Below are 15,064 nucleotides of genomic sequence, written 5' to 3'. Positions count from 1 at the left end.
AAATTAAAGATGATAATATCTCTAAAGGTTTTTGAAAGAAGTAAATGAGAAAATGTAGCTCAAATTGTAACAACATCTGACACAGTGCAAAAACCATAACTATTAAATCTAGTTATCCTCCCTTATTTTATTCCTATTAGAGATATTATAAAGTTGGCCACAGAAACTTATTATTGAGGATCACGTTTGAGGATTATTGAGAATCACGTTTGGCTGTAAGTAAATAAAAAAAAAAACAAATAAAAAAGCTAGAAGTTTATTTCTCTTTCGTACAAAACCAGGTCTAGACAGGCCAAGTTTGACATGGCTGTTGTGTTCTAAAAAGCCCACATACACCTTCCATTTTTATGTTTTGTCATCCTTACTGAGTGGCTGTTGTCTTCCTGGTTCAAGATAGTGGTCATTGCATCCTTGTTGGGTGTGGCAGAATGAAGGAAGTGAGGAAGAACTGGCAAATGGAGAGCAGCAGCAGTCCCTTTAGGAAGGTTCTTGACAGCTTATATCTTACTGGTCAGAACATAAGCTGCAAGGGAGGCTGGATGATGGATGTACTTTTCCTTTTTTTTTTTTTTTTTTTTTTTTGAGACAGAGTCTCACTCTGTCACCCAGGCTGGAGTGCAGTGGTGCAATCACGGGGCTCACTGCAACCTCCTCCTCCCGGGTTCAAGTGATTGTCCTGCTTCAGCCTCCCAAGTAGCTGGGATTACAGGCACGCATCACCATGCCCGGCTAATTTCTGTATTTTTAGTAGAGATGGGTTTCACCATGTTGACCAGGCTGGTCTCAAACTCCTGACCTCAAGTGAGCCATCCACCTTGGCTTCCCAAAGTGCTGGGATTACAGGAGTGAGCCAGCGTGCCTGGCCTCAATTTCTCTCTTTCTTTCTTTCATCTCTCCTTCCTTCCTTTCCTTCCTCTCTCCCTCCCTTCCTTCTTTCTTTCCTTTCTCCCCTCCCTTCCCCTCCTCCCTCTCCTCCTCCTTCCCTCCCTCCCTCCTTTGCTTGCTTGCTTCCTTCCTTCCTTCCTTCCTCTCTCTCTCTTTCTTTCTTTCTTTTTAAGACAGGGTCTTGCTCTGTCACTCAGACTGGAGTACAGGGGTGTGATCACAGCTCACTGCAGCCTCTGCCTTCCGGGCTCAAGTGATCCTCCCACCTCAACCTCCAGAGTAGTTGGGACCACAGGCACGCCACCACCCCCAGCTAATTTTTAAATTTTTGTAGATATGGGGGTCTCCCTATGTTGCCAAGGCTTGTCTTGAACTTCAGGACTCAAACAATCCTCTTGCCTTGGCCTCCCAAAGTGTGGGGGTTACAGGTGTGATGGAGCTTGAGCCTAGCAGTTGAAGACCAGCCTGGACAACATAGGGAGACCCTGTCTCTACAAAAAAGTTAAAAAGTTTAAGAAAAATTCCCGTACACTTGTTCTTTTTAATGCAAAATGTAGAGAAAGACAAAAATTGTAATTCATCTACATCTAATCTCTTTTACGCAAATATATACATTTCATTACAGTCTAGGGCCAGTATGTCTATGAATTAGTGACAATAAATATTGAATAATGAGACTACTATCTACAGCGTTCTCCTATTGGGTACTTCCTGAGTTATAAGCAGCTACTAGTATTCAAGTTTATATGGCAACATGATAGTTTTTCTTGGGGAGTAAGAGTTGTGTTCAAATTTATAATACAGTGCCATTTTCTTGTTCTCCCTATACAGCAGTTTTTAAAAACTAGAAAATGAGACAATCTTTTATTGGTAGCACTCTGTAATTCTGCGTCTAGACTTAGTTATTTGTAGTCTCCCTAAAGGAGCACATATTTCCCCAATGTTCAACATTTTTAAATTTTCTTATCTGGCTACCCCAAACCCCTCCTCGCAGCCTCCCCTTCTCAGGTCTGCCCTTACTATTCCAGGCCCCACAACCTTGCCTCCTCTAAATTAAAATGTTAACTATCAGGCTGAGAAGTAACCAGATAAATTAAATTCCTTGACCAGTTAATGACTAGTAATAGCTCGACAGATGATCTCTCTGAAGTGTTTGTATTCTTAAGACTCTCTAGGTACAAAGCATTCATTCAAGGTACTGCAGCTTTGTATATAGAATTTCAGGCACACTGGCAGGTATGATTATGACTTCTTTTGGTGGGAACAGGACTCTTTTAAATGCCCCTTAGATTAAATCCATTCAGTCCACTCCTTCTTTCTTGTTGGAATATTAAAATGAAGATTTCTTTACGAATAGTAGATATAGTAGCTTTAAAAAATATTTTAAAGCTATTCATTACAATTTCCTTTTCTTAAAGAGTTTTGATAAATCCAGTGATGGCTTATTACTCTTAGAATGTCTTATTGAATGTGGCGGGACATTTTGTTACTGACTTAAAATTAATGAATATAATATAAAAAATTAACATATCGAGAAAAGGCAAAGCCAAAAATATTAGAGGCCTGAGTCCTCTTGGCTGAAGTTTCTCACCTCAATTACGTAAGTCCTCAGTTAGTTCACTTTTGGAATCATGTCTAATACATTTGACAAGGGAGTAGCCTTGGAGTGTCGCTAAGAAGAAATTGATCAGGAAAAATGAGATGGCAAAGAAGAATGTTTCCAAGAAGAAGTGGGATTTAGGGTGGAGGCTGTAAAAAAATGGGAGCGGTTCCTTTAGGCATTGAACAAACATTTATTTTTTGCCTTCCACATGCCAGGACCTACTGCGTCTCCTCCGGATGGGTGCTCCTCGCCGACAAAGTCTAGATTGTGATTATCTCAAGGACTTGAGTTACCCTCACTTCCGACCTCCTCTCTCACAAACTGGTTCCAGGCGGGGAGACTGAGGATGGGCTGGGGAGGCTGGCAGAGGCGATCCCCACCTCGCGGAGCACAACATCTGCTGTGTTCTGCGGCGAGCGCCTGTCAAGCAGTGGGAGGAAAAAGCGCTTGGAGCCACCAGCCCACTCTTAAGCGAAACTCGCCTGGAAAACACCCCGCCTCCCAGCAGAGTTTCTGCCGGTTTCTTTAGAAGGGTGGTGCGGAAAAGCAACTTTTGGGAACTTGAAGGAGTGGGGTGTGGGGCGAAGTGGAAAGAGCACACAACGCGACCCCACTCAGTCCCCGCTTGGGACTCCCATCCCGGCATCAGGCGTAGTGGGCGGTCCGGGCCAGGGCCAGGGCCAGAGCGGCGGCGGCGAGGCCATGCCGAGGGCCCGTCGGCCGCAGTTCCCCGTCCGGCCTCGCGGGGGCGCCGGCGCTGCCGATCAGGTGACCGAGGGCCCGTCCGGGGCTGCGGGAAGCGGCCTCGTTCTCAGCCGCCGGAGACGCCGCCGCCGCCGCCGCCGCCGCCACACCTAGTGGAGCAGCCGGGGAAGGCGGCTCGTTGGGGGCTGGGGCGGAGAGCGCCGGGGGTGGGGGCGGAAGGGCGGCGGGCGGAAGGCAGGAGGCTGCCGGGGCGCGGGCTGCTGCGGGAGAAGGGGCTCCGAGGAGTCCGCCGCGGCTCGCTCTGTCGCCGGCGCGGGATTGGGGCGCGAGGGCCATGGGCGCGCTCTCCTAAGGCGGAGGTCGCGGGCGGGAGGGGAGGAGGCCCGAGAGAGGCTGCTGCGAAGGCCGCGGGCCCGTGACTGGGCGCGAGGCGGCCGGCGGCGGCGGCGGCACCAGCACCACCATGTCGCGCTCAGTGCTGCAGCCCAGTCAGCAGAAGCTGGCGGAGAAGCTCACCATCCTCAACGACCGGGGCGTCGGCATGCTCACCCGCCTCTACAACATCAAGAAGGTGCGCACGGGCCGGGGAGGCCGCGGCGGAGGCGGGCGGGCCCGGGAGGGATGAAGGGCAAGGGAGGCCGTGGGGTGGGGGCGGCAGGAGGCGCCGGGTGTAGAAATCTCGGCGTCGCCGCCCGAGGCCCGGCCCGGGGTCGCCTGGATGCGCCGCGGCCTAATGCGGAGTCCCGGGCGCCTCTCCCTGTGGTTCGCCGGCCGGCCGAAGGCAGAGAAGCCATTTCCCGGCTCCCGGCGGCGGGATCGGGCGCTGGGCCTCGCACGGGGTGGGGGCGCCGCTGGGAGCCGGGAGCTGTCCCCTCCTCGGCGCCCCCGCCCCCATGATGGGGCCCATAGGAAAGGGAGGGTGGTGGGTGGGCGAAATTCTAGGTGGGTAGGAAAACTTGAGTGTTCCATATTCTTACGGAGATGGCAGCAGTGAACAGGGATTACACCCCACATCCCCATTTTTTGGTGTGGGAATGTGGGTAGAGAAGGGCTGATTGGATGAATCCCGTATCCCCTCCACTTTGCCACTTTATTTTAGATTGCTAAATAAAAAGCCATTGAGAGTGTGTTGACGATTTGGGATTATTTCATTTTGAAGGTGGAGAGGAGGGGGAAGTGAGGGTGGAACCAATTTTCTGAAATACTTCTAGGCTGTGAGTCACTAGAACTGGAATAACAACCTTCTACTCTTTCCCCTGTACTCCTCCTCATGTTAGATTTTCCAATACCATTTCTTAAAGTTCGGTGTCTGTACAAAATAAAAACCGTAAAAATGTTGCAATTGCTGCTGATTTATAGCATAGTCTGATAATTTGAGCAACTATAGCTAATAGGCCCATTTAAAGGCTTTTACATGTCCTCAGTACAGTAAGGAGTGGAAGACCACTGGAAGTTTAGAAAAGTCCATGTAAAGATAGAACAAATAATTACATTCATTATCGTAGGACAAAACAACAAAATCTCTCCCCTTAAGGCAAGGTTGGTAAGTTTTAAACAATTTGATAAAGAGAAAAAGAGATATTTGGAAAATTTAGATCCATCGAGTTTCCAATGTGTCTTTGATGTCATACCTTCATAACTATTTGTTGGCTTTTTAATATATCGTGAATGTTACCGTTTAGTTTAATCATAGCAATAGATTGTAGGTTGAGAGGGCTTCTGAAGAAAGGTTTTTTTTTTTTTCTTTGGAAATTCATTTCCAAGCGTTTGAGTGTAAAATTGATTTATTTTTTACAATTTGATGTAGACACTAATTCTAAAGAGTGTCCTGGTTTAATGATGATAAATTTTGGATAAGGACAAAGTCTGGTTGCTCACCTAATTGCAAGGCTTTATTACTCTAAACCCAGTGCTATCTGGAGAGTAACTGCAACATGCTTACTCAGTTTGTTACCTTTTATGTGGCAGGAGCTCAGTGTCATGACAAAGAAGCCCCTCTGCATTTACCAAGGAGCCTAGGTTATAAATTTATATAGGTTAGGAATAATTCAGTTTTAAATAGTATTACTTAGAGGTTGCATTGACCTGAACTGTTCGGGGAGATTGTGCTGCTTAAAAAACTTGGAAATTGATTCCTATATGAATTTTGTCCAAAAATGAACAAGTCAAATATTATAAAAGTTACTAGACCTGTGGTATTGTGGTTTAAAGGAAATGGTTATGATGGTTTCTAAAAGAGGAAGTGAGAGTAACATCAAAAGTGATTTGGGTATTTGGGCAAAATACCTTTTCTAAGCATTTATTAAACATTTTTGTAGGATAAATGCAATCAAACTTTAATATCCCACCTTCATAAATAAGATTAAATGAAATTCTGGGCATTTGAACTCTAATAATTCCAGTTCATTGCCTTTTCTCAAAAGCACTGTTTTTTTCACTTCCTGTTTTGGGAAGCTTCAGCCTCTTGTATTATTGAACTTGTGAAAGTTAAAATGCATTGAATGTGATCATTATTATATCCATGTCAAATATTTTGATTTATTGAAACGTCATATTTTAGCACTTGCCTTATATTTTTAGTTTCTTAAGAAATACATTGCTTACCTTGCTTGAGTGTGAATTTTCTCTGGGCAGGGACAGTGTAATTTTTGAAATACTAGAGTATTTAGGGCCTTATCTGATACTCGAGGCCTTCAGTTAGGCCAGGTTGAAATGAATGAATTACTTCCCTCCTCTCTCTCAAAACCTGTGTGCTCTAGTTTTAATAATAATACCCTTGGGTTTGCTCCCTTTGTGTAATTTTGCATGTAAATGAATCAGATAAGATTTTGGATCTTTCAGCCTATAGAATTGTCTGTGAGTCTGGCATATCTTCCCAGCTGGCTAGGAATTGAAACATTTGTTCAAATATCTTGCCAAAGAAGTGAGTAAGATCTGTTCACCATGTGTTTATTAGGTTCATGCTGTCTGCATTCTTACTGCATTATAAACCACATACTCTTTTCAATCTCAACCTCTTCTAGTCTTAAAAAAAAAACCTTCCACCTCATAATACATGTTTGCCAATCAATTATCACATTTTCATTAATGCATGTGCATTAGATTGTCTACCAGATCTAATTACTCTGTTTCAATTGGAAGTATACAGTGGAAATGATATTTTAGTGAACATATACAATGAAAAATAGTTAAGTAAAATAACTTATTATTGTCAGTAATATGCTTTGGCGCTTATTAGGGAAGTTGGAGCATGATTACTGAAGAATGTTTTTTTTTTTTAATTTCATCAGTCAAAAATTTTGAGATCTTAATATTTACAATTTATGGGAATTTTAGGGAACTTGTAGTTTGACGGAGGATGTAGGAACACATAAAAGCGGATTTTAGGGAAAAGACTTGAAGGTTGTTGGTAGCTTTACATTTAAATTTATTTGTTGCTTAATTCCTTTTTTTTTGTTTTTAAATATATGGTTTCCCTTTTGCAGACCTAATAATGTGACTCACTCATGTAGAGATTTGTAACATTTTTAAAGGTTCCAGCATGGCAACTTGTGTGGTGGTGGGATTAAGAGCACTGGGCCAGAAGTTAAGAGACTTGCATTCCAATCTTCATTCTGTCACTGAGAGTTCTCTAACATTGGTTAGTAATTTGACTTTCTTGAGCTTCACTTTTCCTCATCTGTAAAATGGGGAAAATTAACTGTAAAAGGAACACTAAAGTCTATTCCAGCTCTATCTTTATGATTTTATGGTGAAGTAGTAGAGTAGAAATTATGTTTCATTTTAAACAATAACTGAACTCAGTTTAGTTTTCTGTAATGTAGGGAGCATAATGCCTGCCCTACATACTTCACAGAATTGCTTCTGAAGGTAGAGGATGGTAATATGTGAAAATAGTATTTAGGAATCTGAGCATCTCTTTTGGGCAACATTGTTTTTCTGAAATTGTATAACTGTTCAACAAAACTGCCAAATACCCAAAGAAAACATTTTGCTCAGTTAAATTTTTGTGTGTGTGGTTTACTCTCTTCTTTTTTTCCTTCTCCTTTCTTTTCCTCCACCATTACCAACATGAGATTAATCTCTGTATTAAAAAGATCTTAGTTAATACTTGCGTCTTTTCCTCCTGTTAAATTTCTGCCTGTACTGTAAAGGTCAGAGAATGAGAAAAAAAAAAAAACCCATACAACTATTACAAACTTTTTAAAGTGGAGTATTGTGGTGGTTTAAATGCAGTTTTACTTCTTTAAAAACATTAGAGGAATATTTTTCTTTTTTTCCCTATCCTTTTCTCATTATTTTGGATAAATTTATTTTCTAAGGAAAAGTTTAACAGGACTAGCATTGTAAAATTGAAAGTCTTTAGCCAGTATCTGCTTATTTAGTGGGGGAAGAAAAGATGTTTGTGAAGGGAGCAGTGCAGGGTAAAGGGAGGGGAACTGGTTTTAGTCTTCCCTTTCAGTATTGTATTTGTTTCCACTTAGGGTGTTATTTTCTCTTTTGGTCAATCAGATGCAGAAGCGTGTTCCAGAGATGCTTAGGAAAATAATTATTTTTAATTTTTAAGTAGCAATGATAAATAATCCATCTTTTGTTTCCTTTATGGAATTGTTAAGTAACTTTAAAATTTTTTAATGATTACCAGAGGAATATATGTTTATTGTCAAAAACTCAAACATAACATAAATGAGTGACTTCAAAAATTCACTGTCTGCCCATCTTTATAACTTTATAAGCTACTGAATTGTTAGTTTGTAAGTAGGGTTGTATATGTGCCAGTTTGAAATGATTCTCTTGTTTTAAGTAGAAGAACCCATACTGGAAAATGCTTTGTTATTGCATAGTTGACTATTTTAGATAGTAATAAAATTGCATCTTTAAAACTGTTTTATAAGCCATCATATGAGCTATTCTTTCAGTTACTCTCAAATATTGAGGTTTTCCCTTTTAATTTATTCATTTACTCTTCGTTTATTGAATGTGTTCCCTGGCATGAGGGAAATAGAGGTAAATTAAGATGAAGTCTCTAGTGCCAAGAAATTAGTGTCTTAGTGGGGAGAGAGATGTATAGATATTTAACTAAAATGCAGTGTGTAAGTAGGATTGTCGGAGTCTTGAGAAGGGAATTAAGGATTATAATCTGGGAGAGATGGTAAAGAGGAGAGTCACATTTGTACTTGGTTTTGAAGTATGAATAGAAACTTCAGGCAGCCAGTGACAGAAACTAACTAGTTACTATTTCAGATTGCAGAGTTTTTATTCAGTAGGATATACAGAGGGTCCCCAACTTGTGATGGTTTGACTTAACAATTTGTTGACTTCTTGTTGGCACAAAAGCTATGGCATGCAGTAGGAAGTGGTATGATACTTTCTTGTGATCTGATACTCTGCAGTGTACTGTATTACCAGATAATTTACTCAACTGTAGTCTAATGTAAGTGTTTAAGGTAGGCTAGGCTAAACTATGATGTTAGGTAGGTTAGGTGTGTTAAATGCATTTCTTCTCTTTTTTTGGAGACAGGGTCTAGCTCTGTCATACAAGCTGGAGTACAATGGCACGATCTCAGCTCACTGCAGCCTCTGCCTCCTGGCTCAGGCGATCCTCCCACCTCAGCCTTCTGAGTAGCTGGGACTATAGGCACATGCCACCATGCCAGGCTAATTTTTGTATTTTTTTTGATAGAGTTGGGGTTTCACCGTGTTGCCCAGGCTGGTCTCTGTCTCCTGGGGTCGAGCAATCCACTCGCTTCAGCCTGCCAAAGTACTGGGATTACAGGTGTAAGCTACCGCACCTGGCTGATTTATGATATTTTCAATTAAAGATAGGTTTATTGGAATGTAACCCTATTGTTAAGTTGAGGAGCATCTGTATAAAGATAACAAAATACAGTCATTCTGCATAATGATATTTCACATAACACTGAAATGATGGACTGCCTATACACAGTAGTCCCATAAGATAACACTGTATTCTTACTGTTTTTTTTTATGTTTAGATACATTTAGATACAAAAATACATACCATTATGTTGCAATTGCCTGCAGTATTCTCATTGTACGGGTTTGTAGCATGAAAGCAGTAGGCTATATCCCATGTACCCTGGGTGTATAGTAGGCTATACCATCTAGGTTTATGTAAGTACGCTCTGATGTTCACACAATGATGAAATCATCTGATGACATTAAGCAATGCATGACTGTGTTAGAGTATAAAATAGTAATGCTCTTCTTGCAGGCATATAACCTCTAAACTTCACTTATTTTCTAAACATTTTCCGTACTTGCAGAATATTCTGTGAGTTGAGAGAGCTAGATTCTAGATAATGCTCTGATACTTTTTTTTTAGTTTGAACAAGTTATTTAACATTTCTGGGCTGTAGGTTACTTACAAAGTGAGGAGATCAGTGGTTCCTAGCCAGGGATACATAATAGAATCCTCTTGGAAGGTTTTTCCAAATTCCATACATCTGGATCCTGACCCAAACTTAACTTGAACAGAAAAAAATCCCTGAAATTGTTCCAATGTTAACTACTGAAATAACTGAAATGTAAATTCTTAAATACCTGTAATTTCTTTTCCTGCTAATTATTAACTGTGGTGATTTAATTTAGTTGTCTGGGTTATAACTAAATTTCTGGAAGGCTGCACATTGGCTGTCTACTAGCAAAACCAGCTCCATGGTACTTATTTGCTCTCAGCTTCTGTTATGCTTCAAGCTGTATTTTTTGGCTTTCTAAGCCTTGCTAGTCTTATTGATTCTAACTCTTGTAATCTTAAATAGATATTCCAGTTATCTCACGTTTTTGGAATACGCTTTTATTAACCTCATAGGTTAAGAGGAGAATTAAATGAGTGAATCCATAGGAAGTATTGGTACAGTGCCTTGTAGCAAGCGTAAGAGCTGAGGAAATGGTGGCTGTTGTTACTAGTTCTATTTCTGGGGCTTGGAACATAGTGGACACTTAATAAATGTTCATTCCCCCCCACCCCCAGATTAAATTAAGCTCAAGACTACCTTTTAGGAAACATTCCTCACTATTCTATTTTACTGCCTGATACAGTTTGACATCTACTTACTGCTAAGACAGAATAATTATTTGTATTTCAGAAGTATGTGTTCCACAGTAGTCCTTTAAATAACAATTTCTTTTTAACCGCAAAGGTATGACAATATATATACTTTAAAAAACTGCAAAAACACCTTTGCTTCATAAACTGAGATGATCCTGTATATTGGAAGCTGAAAACTGTTTAAAGGCAACAGTGACATATATATCTTCTTGTAAATGGAATGGTAATTAATAACTCATTTGAATCACTAAATTTTTTTCTTTTTTTTGAATCACTAATTTTGAAGTGTATAATGGGTTGAAGTTTTTCAAGTTCATGACTTTCTCAGAACTTGTGTCTAAAGGACAATAACTGTGATTTCTATATTTTTAGATCTCAATTATTGGCTCCAATTAAGAGGTAGTTATTGATAAAATTACATTAATTTGAAAGCATTTCCAATAATTTCAGTATACTTTGTTATCAAGCCTCTTAATCCAAGTTACTAGCAGTAGATTGCTCTCTTTTCTTTTTACCTACCTAAGAGGGAAAGTGCTAACTTAAAGCAGATCGGTTGGCCAAAATATACATCATAACACAGGAGGAAAAAAATAATCGGAAAGCTAACTACTGATGAATTTGAGTCTTATTTTGCTCTTGATATAAAGTTTTCCAGTACTTATGGACAATTTTCATACTGTAATATTTTCATTATTTAAAAAATTGGAACATAAAATAATCATAGGTATATATTACTTTTACATTCCATAATTTCAGGTAACGTCTATTCTTCCTCTAGGTATTAATTTCAATTTGTTGAAAACTCAGGGAAGAATCTTTGTCCCTTTATTCCTTCAATTTTGCAAAACGTGTGGTGTTTCTTGGTTATTAAGTCAAATTCCTCTTTCGAGTCTAAATTGGCCACATTTTGTATTTTTCTCCTCATCCTTGACATTATTCAGATGGGGCTGGTTTCTGTGCCCTCACGAATAGCATTCTCACTCTGACTCCTGAGATCTTGTTCATATTTTTTCAGTTAATTCATTGTACTAGAAAATCATTTTGTTCTTCCCTATTTTGGCATTTTTCCAATTATTGTACTAGAAAATAATTGTTCTTCCATATTTTAGCAAAGGAATGTGTTTTATTCCTGAGTTAGAATAGAAATTAAAAAATAAAACTGAAGCTAGGCACAGTAGTAGTGCGTGCTTGTAATCCCAGGTACTTAGGAGGCTGAGGCAGAAGGATCTCTTGAGACCAGGAGTTCAAGTCCAGCCTGGGCAATATAGCAAGATGCTGTCTCAAAAAAATAAAATGGATTGAACTGATCAGATTTTTACCGTGATAGCAACTGCTTCCTGAGGTTTTAAGCAGCGGAGGTTTTGAATAAGTGGAGCATGTTTTTAAACATTATTTTTGGGAGGGGACATATATTTTTAGATAGTGTTTTGGAATCAGGTATGAATTTCTCTGTAGGTCCTGTCAGTAGTTGTGAAATCTTGATCAAGTTACTTAATTTTTCAGAAGCTCCTTTCCTTTCTGTTGAGTGATAATTTAGATAATTTCTAAAGCATAGGTGTTTTGCACACAATAATTGCACAGTAAATGTTCTTTTTACTTCCAACATCTTTTGTATCTTGATTATTTTGTTGTTTTTTTTCCTTCTCTCTCTTTTTTTTTTTTTTTTTTTCGAGTCAGGGTCTCACTCTTGCCTAGGCTGGAGTTTGCAGTGGTTGTGAACAGGGCTCACTGTAGACTCAACCTCCCTGGCTCAAGCAGTCCTTCCATCTTAGCCTCCCAGGTAGCTGGGACCACAGATATTTACCACCACGTTTGGCTAATTTTTAAACATTTTGTAGAGACAGGGTCTCCCTCTTGCCCAAGGTGGTCTCAAACTTGTGGGCTCCAGCAATTCTCCTGCCTTGGCCTCCGCAAGTGCTGGGATTGCAGGTGTGAGCTACTGAGCAGTCTTTTTTTTTTGGTGTCTTGATTGTTGCTTAATCTCTTGTGAATAGATAGAGGAATTTTAAAAATCTGTATTTTTTTTTTTTGGCATCATGGTAAGTTCTTGGAAAAATAGTAACATTAACCATGTAAAGTTAAGCTGTGGTATGTAATCCTATGCTGTAATAGCTTGAGGAAAGGCCTCAGTATGGGGGTTTGTGGTAGAGTGGCAGAAAGATGTGTTTTAAAGTCATACTTTAAAATGGCATAGGGTCTAGGCTTGATGTTTCTAATCAAAGATGTTTCTTTTGTGGCCCGGATAATATATTGTGTAGTTTTCTGAAACATCCTTGTCCTTCATTTTTACTGATAACATCAGATTTGTGTTTTAAAAGGAACTTAGAGATATTGAATTGACTACTGACCTATAGTTTTTTTTTTGTTTCTTTTGAGACAGAGTTTCACTCTTGTTGCCCAGGCTGGAGTGCAGTGGCGCGATCTTGGCTCACTGCAACCTGCGCCTTCCGGGTTCAAGCGATTCTCCTGCCTCAGCCTCCCGAGTAGCTGGGATTACAGGCGCCAGACCATACCTGGCTATTTTTTTTTTTTTGTATTTTTAGTAGAAACGGGGTTTCACCGTGTTGGCTAGGCTGGTCTTGAACTCCTGACCTCGCGATCTGCCCACCTCGGCCTCCCAAAGTGCTGGGATTACAGGCGTGAGCCACTGAGCCCAGCCTAGAATTGTTTTTATGGAAAATCTTGTTTCCATAATTGAGAACTCACTATGTGTATCCATGTATATAAAGAAGTTTTATTTAAAAAAATATTTGGAACTTATTTATTAACTACATATGTGCCAGGCACCTAAATAAACAGTTTATGTGTATCTTATCTTTTAAATATTTTAACAGTGTACCCTATGCAGTAGGTAGTAATAATATCCTCAATTTATGGGTTAGGTAACTGAGGCTGAGAGGTTAGGCAACTTGCCTAAGGTCATATAGGCTATTATGCACTTGACCCAAGAGACAAGGGTTTTAATTACTATGTTTAAGTGTATCCTTTAACATCACTGTAATTTTATCTGTCACATAAAATAATCCTGACTTTTAAAATATTATAATTAGAATATTCATGGAGAATAAAGTTCCAATTCTGAGAACTGGAAATTTAAGTATATAAATATTTAAATTTATTTTAGATCTTCTGAAATTTGAAATTATAGTATTTTATGTTTTATGAAAATATGCTGACTCAAGATAAAGTAAAACAGGGTACTTGGGGGAGTTTTTGTTTTTTCAATTCTGTACTTTATGCATAGTTTTCTTTCTGTGTAGTGAAATACCTCTTTTAGTCAATTCTCTGAAAAAGTTTTTTTTTTGGTAGGGCTATAAAATTCAGGGATTTAGACATCATTTTACACTGTATTCACCTTTCCTTTTTTTCTATTTTTGGGAGTATGGGGGATAGAAGTGCTCAAATGTTTAATTGAATTGGTAATTTGTTAAATCTTTTGATTACGTCTTTCTGGTAAGCCTTTCTGAAATATATTAGTCTAAAATGTTTTGATAACTAAGTTTAATTGTGTATTTAGTTTTTAAAAATTTGATACTTCAAAAGGTGATAACTTTGAGTTAAGGATTAATTTTGTGTAATATTGTAGATGTAATAGAAAGATATATGATTTCAAGTATACCAATAGCAGGCTGTTTTCTGAAAATGCAAGTTGTGATTTTCTTATCCTCAAAATGAAAGTTTTTTGAGTTTGGGTGGGGAATAAGATGAATTTTTATAAACTATAACTTCTGGTTATTTGGAATTTTCTATACTGTTTTAGTATGGTAGGAAACCTTAAAGTTTTTTTAAAAATTTTTTTGTAGAGATAGGATCTTGCTATGTTGCCCAGGCCGGTCTCTAGTTTCTGTCCTCAAGTGATCCTCCCACCTGAGCCTCCCAAAGTGCCAGGATTACAGTTGTGAGCCACCATGCCCAATCAGCCTTCTTACCTGAATTATTTGTTATGGTTCTTTGCCAGGATATATTTTACCTAGCTGATAACTTTTAGTCATGTCAGTTTATTTTTTTCATAGACTTCTTCTTTTTTGCCTAAGTATTCCCCATACAAGTGTCTCTCTTGTTATTAAGCAAATAAATCAAGTAAGTGGATTTTAGAAAAAAGATAAGATGGGGCCTAGTACTTCTGTATGTATTAACCTCTTATTTTTAATTGGCATTTTTTGGGAGCTCTTGGTATGCCAAATACTCTCGTAAAGTCTACAGGTAACACTTTCATGTAGTGAACATAAAAACTTTTTAGCATAGGTTGTAATTATTATCTGTTTAACAGTTGAAGAAACTGAGGCACAGATAGAATGACTTGCTCATGGGTACACAGCTAAGTGATGGTGCCAAGATTTTAAACATGGACAGCCTGTCTTGAAACTCAGGTTCTTAACAATTAGGTTAAACTCTGTACAGTTACAGCAAATGTAGACTTTAGGCTGTATTTAGGCTGTATTTAGATGTTTAGGCTTAAAGTGAATAAAGGAAATATTTGATTGAGAGAGGGGATTGTATTTAATAGTTGCATAAGGAAGTTAACACTAACTTGCTAGTTGTATATATATATTATGATAAAGACTGTTACTATGATTACTATTCATATTAGACTTGGATAATTATTATCATCATTATAGCTATTATTAAAAAGCAGCTAGCATTTTTAGAGCACTTATGTGCTTATCATTTTGCTAAATGCTTTACATGGTTTCTTTATCTCTCTTCTAATCCTTATAATAACCCTGTGAGGTAAGTACTAATTTCCCCATTTTACAGACGAAGAAACATAGGTTAGGAGATATTTTGTAATATATTCC

The 15,064-nt window shown here is 39.0% G+C and overlaps 1 protein-coding gene across 4 annotated transcripts in view, besides 4 other annotated features; it reads left to right on the top strand.

Annotated features, from left to right (window-relative positions):
* Positions 2,726–3,377: a silencer, noted in NCBI's record as "fragment chr2:183903107-183903758 (GRCh37/hg19 assembly coordinates)". NCBI's record gives its function as "represses an EF-1alpha promoter that drives an FKBP-Casp9 reporter gene in an ReSE screen in K562 erythroleukemia cells {active_cell/tissue: K562}" and the evidence as "EXISTENCE:reporter gene assay evidence [ECO:0000049][PMID:32094911]".
* Positions 2,726–3,699: a biological region, named in NCBI's record as "ReSE screen-validated silencer GRCh37_chr2:183903107-183903758".
* Positions 3,110–3,699: a silencer, noted in NCBI's record as "silent region_12163". NCBI's record gives its function as "represses an Ori minimal core promoter by ATAC-STARR-seq in GM12878 lymphoblastoid cells {active_cell/tissue: GM12878}" and the evidence as "EXISTENCE:reporter gene assay evidence [ECO:0000049][PMID:35858748]".
* Positions 3,299–15,064, top strand: part of NCKAP1 (NCK associated protein 1) — a 129,343-nt gene continuing 117,577 nt past the window's right edge. For all 4 annotated transcript variants that reach the window (NM_001437266.1, NM_013436.5, NM_001437267.1 and 1 more), the window contains exon 1: positions 3,299–3,764. In NM_001437266.1, the coding sequence (NP_001424195.1) occupies positions 3,657–3,764 (108 nt within the window). In that variant the 5' untranslated portion in view covers positions 3,299–3,656. The remainder of the gene's footprint in view (positions 3,765–15,064) is intronic.
* Positions 3,760–3,879: a silencer, noted in NCBI's record as "silent region_12162". NCBI's record gives its function as "represses an Ori minimal core promoter by ATAC-STARR-seq in GM12878 lymphoblastoid cells {active_cell/tissue: GM12878}" and the evidence as "EXISTENCE:reporter gene assay evidence [ECO:0000049][PMID:35858748]".

Source organism: Homo sapiens, chromosome 2 (genome assembly GCF_000001405.40).
Source record: "Homo sapiens chromosome 2, GRCh38.p14 Primary Assembly".
In the NCBI taxonomy this organism is placed as follows: domain Eukaryota; kingdom Metazoa; phylum Chordata; class Mammalia; order Primates; family Hominidae; genus Homo; species Homo sapiens.
This window is presented reverse-complemented; position numbering and strand designations above follow the sequence as displayed.